This window comes from Homo sapiens, chromosome 11 (assembly GCF_000001405.40).
Source record: "Homo sapiens chromosome 11, GRCh38.p14 Primary Assembly".
NCBI classification, from domain to species: Eukaryota; Metazoa; Chordata; class Mammalia; order Primates; family Hominidae; genus Homo; species Homo sapiens.
In genome coordinates, this window is record NC_000011.10 from 102,537,327 (window position 1) to 102,548,412 (window position 11,086).

Sequence of the window (11,086 nt, forward strand, 5' to 3'; positions counted from 1 at the left end):
TAAAGAGGAAAGGACAGTGAAGGAGAGGATGGTCTGAGAGACTACAGCCTTCCTCAGATGCCATGCTATCAGAAGCTAGCTCTCTCCACCACCAAAGGGAGGAAGCAAAATCAAAACCACTTATTCTTCCTTTCTGTCTATTCCTTCGTTTCCCCCCAAACTGCAGCCTATGAAGAATTTAGACGTTAGTTAACTAAGTACCTCTCCCCTGCTTGCAAGAGGAAGGGCAGGGAAACTTTCAAATGGGGCTAGATATTTTTTCCATCAGTGCCAATTTTTACAAGTTACACTTCAGAAAGAAAGTGAAGTAATAATCCTTGTCCCAGCCTGAACTCTGAAGTGGGATGTAACTGTATGCTTGACCTCCTCCATACAGACTCACAGAAGTAGCTTTGTATAATAGATTTTACTGGTGAGTAGGGAGTAGGGAGAGGCAAGTTTCAGCCCAGGATCATACTGTAGATAACTTAAAAATTAATATTAAGCTTCCCTGTTCTTAAAAAAAAAAAATCTTTCACCAAATAGATCTTCTGATCCTGCCCTGGCTTTTCCTATTCTATTTTCCTTCAGTCCTTCCAATGAACTTTCATTCCTTTTTTAAAATTAGGGGCCCTTTACTAATCTCTAGGCTGTCTCCTTATAATCCAAGCACTCAAGGCCTTCCTTTCCATTGTCAAGCAGTTAGTTAGGTTTGTTGTTGTTGTTGTTTAAACAAAGACAGTTATTTCTCTAGAGAAACTCTGTGCCTACTGGTGAAACAAGAACTTAGCTGCTCAGCTACATCAGATAACATGAATTCCCCTTAGAGTTTGTATAGAGGTAATCATAGTTATGACTATATTTTATTTCATGATTAAAAAAATAGAAGCAAATAATTTACTTCAGATCATGCCTAGAACTGTGATGGCAAAAATTCTCTGAGTAATTACTTGGACTATCTGAGAATATTTTTGTCTTTCAATGAGTTACTCTAAGAATATTTGACCTTCCCTGTCCTCTCTTTTCTCATGTTTAGATTAATATTGAAAACGAATTAGATTGATGCTTAGAGCCAAAATATTTATTGGGACTTTTTATTGTATTGTTTATATCCATAGCTTTATGCAGTTTACAAAGCTAAAATCAGCAATAATTTTTGAAGAAATCCAAGCACCTAGAGCTTGGGCTGACTCAGGAGGAGGAGGGATAGAGATACCCAACACACCGAATCAGCTTGCCACTAACTAATCTGTCGAAAGGGCAGCCCCTGGACTCTGGCTGGACCACACCACCACACTCTCTGGTTCTTTTGAGGCCAGATCTGTGGTTCAGCAAGGGTGGTATCTTCACTCATTTTTCTCATGTGGTTATGGCTGAGGGAATTTGCAGGTTTAAGACTGGGTTCAAGTTGGGCACAGTGGCTCATGCTTGTAATCCCAGCACTTTGGGAGGCTGAGGTGGGAGGATCACTTGAGCCCAGAAGTTCAAGATCAGCCTGGGCAACATAGGGAGACTCCTGTCTCTACACAAATAACAAAAAAAAAATTAAGCCAGGGATACTGGATTAAGATGGCAGGTAGGAGGCAGGACTAGCTTTCAGCTCCCACTCTGATGGACAGAGCATGTGGAGACTCACATCATGAACTTTTGCTCCAAGAAGTATGGCAGGAATATATCAGGAAAGCTGAGAGAATCCACAGACCCTTTGAAGGAACTGGATCACCTCTGCAAACTCCCTGACACGCCAAAAAACTGTGAGTCGGCTTGCTTTCTCAACAAGGAGGCTCATGATCTGGGGCAAGTTCTCAGCCCTGGTCACCGGCTGCCTGGAAATAGTGCTGTTGAGGGGACATGGTGGGAGTGAGACTAGTCTTTAGGACTGAAGGCTGAGTGGGAGTGGGGTGAAGCCTATGACTAAACAGAGGCAGCCATAATCCCCCTGGGAATATAAATACATTAGACTGGGAACCGCATTCCCATCCCTGACAGTAGCTGCAGCAACTCCCACCCAAGGAGAGTTTTGAGCTCAGACACACCTAACCCTGCCCCCACCTGGTGGTCTTTCTGTACCTGTTCTGGTAGCTGAAGACAAAGGTCATAATCTCTTGGGAGCTCTATGGCCCTGCCCACCACCTGAGAAACCTGAATACTTAACCAGGTGTCCCTAGGGCATGTTTGCATCCTCCCTATAGGACTGCAGCTGATGCACTTTTGAATGTGCCATTTCCTGGCTGAAGGCCAACCAACACAAAACCAGCACACTAAGCAAGAAACACAACCAAGGACCCTCAGAGTTCACTTTACTCCCCTGCTATTTCCACCAGAGCAGGTGCTGGTATCCATGGCTAAGAGACCTGAAGATGGATCACATCACAGGACTCTCTGCAGACACTCCCCACTACCAGCCCAGAGCCCAGTAGCTACACTGGGTGGCTGGACCCAGGAGAGCAATAACAATCACTGAGGTCTGGCTGTCAGGAAGCCTCATTCCTAGGGGAAGGGGGAGAATACCACATCAAGGGAGCACCCCGTGGGACAAAAGAATCTGAACAACAGCCCTTGATTCCCAGATCTTCCCTCTGATGTAGTCTACCCAAATGAGAAAGAAACAGAAAAACACTTCTGGTAATACGACAAAACAAGGTCCTTTAACATTTCCAAAAGATCATACCAGCTCACCAAAAATAGATCTAAACCAAGGTGAAATCTCTGAATTGCCAGAAAAATAATTCAGAAGGTCAATTATTAAGCTAACCAAGGAGGCACCAGAGAAAGGTAAAGTCTAAATTAAAGAAATCAAAAACATGATATAGGATATGAAAGGAAAATTCACCAGTGAAATAGCATAAATAAAAAACAGTCACAACTGGAAATTAAGGACACACTTAGAGAAATGCAAAATGCACTGGAAAGTCTCAGAAATAGAATCAAACAAGCAGAAGAAAGAACTTCAGAGCTTGAAAACAAGACTTTTGAATTAACCCAATCCATCAAAGACAAAGAAAATAGAAAAAAAAAAAAAAATGAACAAAGCCCCCAAGAAGTTTGGGACCGTGTTAAACATGTAAACTTAAGAATTATCAGTGTTCCCAAGGAAGAAGAGAAATCTAAAAGTTTGGAAAACGTATTTGAGGGAATAATCAAGGAAAACTTCCCTGGCCTTGCTAGAGATCCAGACACCAAATACAAGAAGCTCAAAGAACACCTGGGAAATTCACCATAAAAAGATCATCGCCTAGGCACATAGTCATCAGGCTATCTAAAGTCAAGACAAGGGAAAGAATCTTAAGAGCTGTGAGGGAAAAGCATCAGGTAATCTGTAAAGGAAAATCTATCAGATTAACAGCAGATTTCTCAGCAGGAACTTTATAAACTAGAAGGGACTGGAGTCCTATTTTTAGTCTCCTTAAACAAAACAATTATCAGCCAAGAATTTTGTATCCAGTGAAACTAAGCTTCATAAATGAAAGATACAGTCTTTTCCAGACAAACAAATAGTGAGAGAATTTGCCACTGCCAAGCCAGCACTACAAGAACTGCTAAAAGGAGCTCTAAATCTTGAAACAAATATTTGAAATATACCAGAATAGAAACTCCTTAAAGGATAAATCTAACAGGACCTATATAGCAATAACACAATGAAAAAAAAAAACAAACCAAGATAATCAGGCAACAAATAGCACAATGAATAGAACAGTACCTCACATCTCAATACTAACATTGACTCTAAATGGCCTAAATGCTCCACTTAAAAGACACAGAATGCGTAAGAATTCACCAACCAAATTTCTGCTGTCTTCAGAGACTCACCTAACACATAAGGACTCACATAAACTTAAATTAAAGGGGTGGAAAAAGATATTCCATGCAAATGGACACCAAAAGCAAGCAGGAGTAATTATTCGTATATCAGATAAAACAAACTTTAAAGCGACAGCAGTTAAAAAAGACAAAGAGGGACGTTATATAACGATAAAAGGACTAGTCCGACAGGATAATATCACAATTCTATATATATATGCACCTAACACTGGCGCTCCCAGATTTATGCAACAATTACTACTAGACCTAAGAAATGAGATACATGGCAACACAATAATAGTGGGGGACTTTAATACTCCACTGACAGCGCCAGACAGGTCATCAAGACAGAAAGACAACAAAGAAACAATAAACTTAAACTATACCCTACAACAAATGAACTTAACAGATATTTATAGAACATCCTAGCCAATAACTGCAGAATATATATTCTATTCAGCAACATGGAATGTTCTCCAAGATAGACCATCTGATAGGCCACAAAACAAGTCTCAGTAAATTTAAGAAAATTGAAATTATGTCAAGTACTTTCTCAGACCACAGTGGAATAAAATTGGAAATCAACTCCAAAAGGAACCTTCAAAACCATGCAAATACCTGGAAATTAAATAACCTGCTCCTGAATGATCATTGTGTCAACAATGAAATCAAGATGGAAGTTAAAATATTCTTTGAACTGAATGATATTCCTCAGAAGGAAGTCTAACACTATGTCACATCCTAGTCATTCCTTGAAGTGTATTATCCCTCCTCTCTTCAATTTCCAAGCTCCCCAAGACTCATTCTTCCTTCATCAGCTCTTAGGATCTATATAGGTTATCTATGCCTCAGTGAGATCTTTAGCCTCCATTAACACTCCCACTTAGATTTTAATTCTATGTCTATAACCGAGGATGCTCATCTCCTTTTCAAGAGATGTCAAGCATCAGGGAATACATAAGAGTCATTTTGGAGAAAAAGAGCTCTTCCTAACTGTTCCCATCTCCCTACTTTTTTCATTCAGTTACCCTCTGCTTTGCCAATGCCTAGGGACGTGTTAGTCTGTCTCTGGCCTTTATTACATGATGAGGGTCTTGTTACTAATTTTTTGTTGCCTATAATTGTGCCTCTCAAACCTCTCTACTCAGGTGCCCTTGGCTATCCTAAGGGTGTGGCATGAAGTATCTCTCCATAGGTGGGGAAAATTCTTTGATATCTTAGGCTTCGTTTTTAATAATTCATGCCAATTTTGCATTTTAATTAATAATATCTTTAATTAAAAAATCTTCCATTACTAAGTCTTTAAGCAAAAACACAATAAAAGAATTAACAAACAGATACTTCAGGAACTTTTTTTTGAGGCACTGTTCTAATGCTTTATGAGTATTTAATCTTTGCAATCCTATGAGGTAGCTATTGTTAATCTCATTTTTACAGATGAAGAAAACAAGGCACAGAGAGATTTAGTAACTTGCTCAAGGTCTCATGAGCTCCTAAATATTGGAGCTGGGATTTAAAACCAGACAAAATCTGATGCCTGAGTCTAGAAATCTAGACTTAATCACTTCTATGCTCTTAAACACTTTTGGTTAAGGGTCTGAACCACTTTTCTGTGCCCTTACCTTGTCTCTCCATTACCGACCCTTTTTCCACCTCCCATTCACCCTTGAAGGTATAAGTGACCTACATTTGTGAAGCTGAAACCTAACAATAAAGACAAAATTATTTTAATGTGGCATTAAAAGAGTTTTAGGATCTGATAACCATTTACCTCTCCAGCCTCATTTTCTGTCACTTCTTCTCACTTAATGCTTTAATTATACCAAGCTACATCTGGCTTCCTGAACTCGCCACACTGTGCCTTTCCTACTCTCCTTCCTGAGTTCCCTACCCACTGCACCCTAACCAGAAAAATTAACTGTCTGGAGAATCTCATTTGTCTTTTACAACATGTTAGATGTTGCTCCCTCTTGAATCACTCTCATGTCCCAAGGAAACATTATTCATGTTTCAATATTTGCATGTCTCTCACTATAGCACAATTTACACCTTAGCACATCTGTCTAGACTCTGAAATCCTTGAGGCAGGAGCTGTCTCATATCATTTCTTCTGCCCCATGCGTGATACATACAGTATTTGCTTCCCGGGTTGATGTAGACAATGCCTGAGAGAAGGTCACTTTCCTTTTTTTTTTTTTTTTTTTTTTTTGAGACAGGGTCTTTCTCTGTTACCCAGGCTGGAGTACGGTGGTGTGATCACAACTCACTGCAGTCTCAAACTCCCAGGCCCAAGCAATCCTTTTACTTCAACCTCCTGAGTAGCTGGTACTATAGGTGCATGCCACCACTCCCAGCTAATTTTTGTATTTTTAGTTGAGACGGGGTTTTGCCATATTGCCCAGGCTGATATGCAACTCCTGAGCTCAAGCGATCTTCCCACCTTGGCCTCCCAAAGTGCTGGGATTACAGGCATGAGCCACTGCATCCAGCCAGTCTTGCTCTTTTTCTGCAATGTGAGTTATAAGGACTATACAAACTTGGAACACATAGTGGCCATCTTGTTAGCACCTGGAGAAAATCTGTATGCAAATAAAACCAAGCAGAGGTCATTAGATTCCCAGTAGCAGAGTTTGAATCCCTTTTTTCAATCAGACCTAATGGAAGTTACACTACGTGGATTTCCCAATTATGCAAGTCAATAAAATTTCCCACAGTTTTAGTTTGTTATTGATAGTTTGGGCTGGTTTTCTGACACTTTCAACCAAATAAGTTCTGTGTGATACAGGAGGTTATGATTGTATCTATTTCATCCCAAAAGTTATGTAGTTAACACATGTAGAGCTTGGGTATGAATTCAAGCCTGCTTCTCTGTTAAGCTCATTTTCCTTTCAATATTCCATGTTACTCCTCATTCAGTAATTCAGACATTTTTCATTCATTCTACAAACATATAGTTAGTATATGTCTCATGCCAGGTGCTAGGACTATAGAGACACATGACAGAATGACAGATTTTTTTTTTTTTTTTTTTTTTTGAGATGCAGTTTCACTCTTGTTGCCTGGGCTGGAGTGCAGTGGCACAATCTTGGCTCACTGCAGCCTCCACCTCCTGGGTCCAAGGGATTCTCCTGCCTCAGCCTCCTGAGTAGCTGAGATTACAGGCGCATACCACCATGCCCAGCTAATTTTTGTATTATTAGTAGAGATGGGGTTTCACCATGTTGGCCACGCTGGTCTTGATCTCCTGACGTCAGGTGACCCACCTGCCTCAGCCTACCAAAGTGCTGGGTTTACAGGCATGAGCCATCGCACCCTGCCGAGATTTCTAACACTAGGTTTTTGTGTCATTGTGATAATCATGGCTATTAATAATGAATATATAATATAATGGTTTCGCCAACCAAATTGCTACCTGTTCTGATTCTCCCTGTATCCTGAGCCCATTATAGTTATGAAAGGCTCCCCCACTCTTGGTGTGGTAACTGTGAGGGGGCATGCCCTCAGAGTCAAAGGACAGAGGATTCTCCAAACCCACTGCTACTGCCCTACTTACAGCTCTTAGTATCCCTCATTTGGGTATTTGCATGAGTTTTCTCTCTTTCTCTTTCTTTGTCTTTCTTTCTCTTTCTCTCTTTCTCTTTCCCTTCCTTCCCCCCTTCTTTCCTTCCTTCCTTCCTTCCTTCCTTCCTTCCTTCCTTCCTTCCTTCTTTAAAAGACAGCATCTTACTCTGTCACCAGGATGGAGTGCAGTGCTGTGATCATGGCTTACTGCAGCCTCAAACTCCTGGGCTCAAGGGATCCTTCCGAGTAGCTGAGAGTACAGGCACATGCCACCAAATCAGCTATTTTTCTTTTTTTTATTTTGTAGAAACAGTCTTGCTATGTTGCCCAGACTTGTCTTGAACTCTTGGCTTCAAATGACCCTCCCACCTTGACCTCCCAAAGCATTGGGATTAAAGGCATGGGCCATTGTGCCCAGCTGCATGCACTTTTTATTCTTTCATTTACTTACCAAATATCTGTAAAGCTTATGCTATGTGGTCTGGCCCTGTGGTAGGAATGGGGAACTCATGAAGAATAAGACCTGGATTTTACAGACATACAAAACTGGAAGGCAATGTGGGCTGCACAATGGTAAAGGTATTTGCTGAGGTAAAGAAATATACAGAGGATTTAAACATTTAGCAGGGGCTCTCTGACGGATGCACTGAGGGCAATGAAGGCAGACCCATGCCTGTAATCCTTGTCAGTCCTAATAAGCATGATTTGCTGTCCCCTACAAGGTAGAAGGGCTCTGACTTAATTAACTTGTAACCAAGTGACTGGTTGGTGCCATTGAAGGATGGTACCATATTGAGGGTTTAGATTCAATCCTTAATGCTGCCAAGTCAGACCTCCAGCAGCCGCAGCAGCAGAGGCTAGGTCAACTGTAGCAGGGCTCATGAGTTGCCTCCATGCCTATTACCATGGCCATGCAGTTTGTGGACCCAGTGTTGTTCCTTGGGTAGCTGAGGACACAGGCCGGCTGACCCCCAGTGGATGCCTCATCCTATCCACACAGGTGTTCAGTGCTTCCTCCTCAGGAGATGTTCTGTTTTGGGCATTGATCTGAGACACAAAGATCCACACATTTTATGCTTAAAATTCCATAAATTCATTCAGGCGCTACTTTCCCAAACATCTCTGTCTCTGATTTTATAATCTTGGTATCTTGTTTCATCCAGAATGTGACAAACCAGCTCAGCAACTTGTGATTACCCAGTAATCTATGTGCACTCTTAACTATGATCACTTCACTTCCCCCGCCATGCCGGGTTGGTGACTGCTTATCATCATCATCATCAACACCAAATGTACTCAGCGCTCTGCTTACTGGAAGCAGTACTCTTCCCCATCACCTTTCACAGTCCCCCTGTGTGAGGTGAAAGTGCAGCAGTAGCCTATTTTCAGTCAGCCAGGCATGAACTTTTTCTTCCTACTTAGTGAATGAGGGGCAGCATAATATCCCACCCCAAAACATGCCACTTTGGCATAAGGATCATATTAAGCTGAAGGCAATTGAGAAGAAGCAGATACAAGAAAAGCTCTCTGCCTTTTCCCTATTTGCCTAAAAGTGTGACATAAATTTGTAAACTAGCTATTATCTTCCATTAGTTAGTTCCCTTGTGCATTTCCCTTCACATAATTTGCAGCTATAGAAACTCAAAGCCCTTTTCTTTTGTTTTGTCATTTCTCTAAAAATTTGTTGTTCTTCTGTTAAGATGCTATTTAAATCCAAGTTCTTACTACTGCTTTGAGGTACTCATCACTGAATGCTCCTTTGTGTAAACACATGTTAATCAACGTTTGTCTTTTTACTGTGAATTTGTCTTTGTTGGTCTAATTTTTAGGGCCTCAGCCAGAGAACCTAGGAGGGTAGAGGGAATAATATTTTTTCTACCCTACATTAGTCATAGGGAACTCCCACAGGGCTGAAAGTATGGGCTGGGGAAGAGCTATTGGTGCAAAAGACATAGGTGACGTGAGAGGTTTGGCTACTTGGTCATGTGAAGAGTCTCCTACGTTTCCTTAAACTCAATAGCTGTTTTTTTTTTTTTTTTTTTTTTTTTGATAATTTGCATTTGATTATTTTTGGTCTTTTTCCTCTCAATGCAAATCATGATTAAATTATATAGCATGCCACTACATTTTTTTTTGTGGCATTTAATAATCGATTCAATACTTTTGCCATCAGGATTTTCTTTTGCCTACTTTTTTGTTTTGAGGAAGTTGTATTCATTTGTGGTGAAGGAAAGAATTCTCTAATGTTTTATATATTCCTTGGAAGGAAGTCTGACATCATGTTACATACTAGTTATTTCAGTCTGAGAATTTCCTAAGGTGTTTGTACCATTAGAAGTGTTCTGCTTGGTAAATACAAAACTCCACCAGTTCTTCTTTTTCAGGGCCTGCTTCATTGACTGAACTTCCCCAACCTGCATGTGTAGCCTCATCACAGATTGCCTAAAATGATGTCACATTGCCATACATTATTAGCAGAGTTATTTTGTATAAGGGACATTCTTTTTCCTTAGGGACCTGTGTTTGGAGTATGCTTATGAGCCAGACAGAGAATTGGGGAAGCAGAATTGAAGTTCCTGGTTGGTTATAAATAATGTGTGTGGGTAGCATGATGCTGGAGGTGTTGGTACAGCACCCACAACGCACTTGACCACATTTATGAGTCCCTTGAGGCGGTGACCGATCATGACCCTGGTTTGTGTTCACAGAACTGGTTTGTGGCCTGACATGCAGGAGGCAATGTAGGGTGGTAGAAACAACATGGACTTTGAAATAAGGAACCTCTGGATTGAAATCTCAAAATTTAGATGTGGGTAGGGTATTAACTTCCCTGGGCCTAATTTCTTACCTCAAACATGTTAATATAGAAGGTCTAAAACTTTCTTGTTTCTGGCCTCCCGGGTCTTAGTGATTTTTTTCATAGTGCCCTTAGGCCAGAAAAATGACCAACAATCCTGTTTATTAACGGTCCTGTTTATTTAATTAGGTCTAAATCAACTTATTAAGTATGTCCCAACAACTTGGTAGCTATTTAAAAAAAATACCCATAAACTGAAAGAAAAAATAAATTTTAATTTTATTCTTAAATAGTCACAATTCCTTATGGATGGAATTTGTGTGCCTTTTGGATACCATACAATTTCTTGATTTTTGGAATAAGGTCAATTGATTTTCATTCAGTGTTTCCTTTTTTTTTTTTTTTGAGACGGAATCTCGCACTGTCACCTGGGTTGGAGTGCAGTGGCGCGATCTTGGCTCACTGCAACTTCTGCCTTCCGAGTTCAAGTGATTTTCCTGCCTCAATCTCCTCAGTAGCTGGGATTACAGGTATCTGCCACCATGCCCAGCTAATTTTTAGTAGAGAAGGGGTTTCACTATGTTGGCCAGGCTGGTCTCGAACTTCTGACCTCGTGATCTGCCCACCTTGGCCTCCCAAAGTGCTGGGATTACAGGCGTGAGCCACCGCACCCGGCCTCACAGTGTTTGCTTTTTATTACAGCAACAGCAGAAAACCCAGCTTTGCAAAATTCAGTGATATCTAATGGAATATAGCGTCATCTACTATTGAAATTGTGAACTACTTCGAGCAGTTTGTGAAGTGTCCAGCAAACATCGAGTGTCACTGTATTTCCCTTGAAAATTTGAAGTATTCTGTGGGTTCACATTTGCAGCTCAGGTTTCTCAACATGCAGTTTGAGAACTGTGCATAGAATTGAGAAGACGTATGTGCAGGGATGTTGTGAGA

At 40.8% G+C, this 11,086-nt stretch overlaps 2 annotated features.

Annotated features, from left to right (window-relative positions):
- Window positions 9,713–9,822: a silencer, noted in NCBI's record as "silent region_3863". NCBI's record gives its function as "represses an Ori minimal core promoter by ATAC-STARR-seq in GM12878 lymphoblastoid cells {active_cell/tissue: GM12878}" and the evidence as "EXISTENCE:reporter gene assay evidence [ECO:0000049][PMID:35858748]".
- Window positions 9,973–10,022: a silencer, noted in NCBI's record as "silent region_3864". NCBI's record gives its function as "represses an Ori minimal core promoter by ATAC-STARR-seq in GM12878 lymphoblastoid cells {active_cell/tissue: GM12878}" and the evidence as "EXISTENCE:reporter gene assay evidence [ECO:0000049][PMID:35858748]".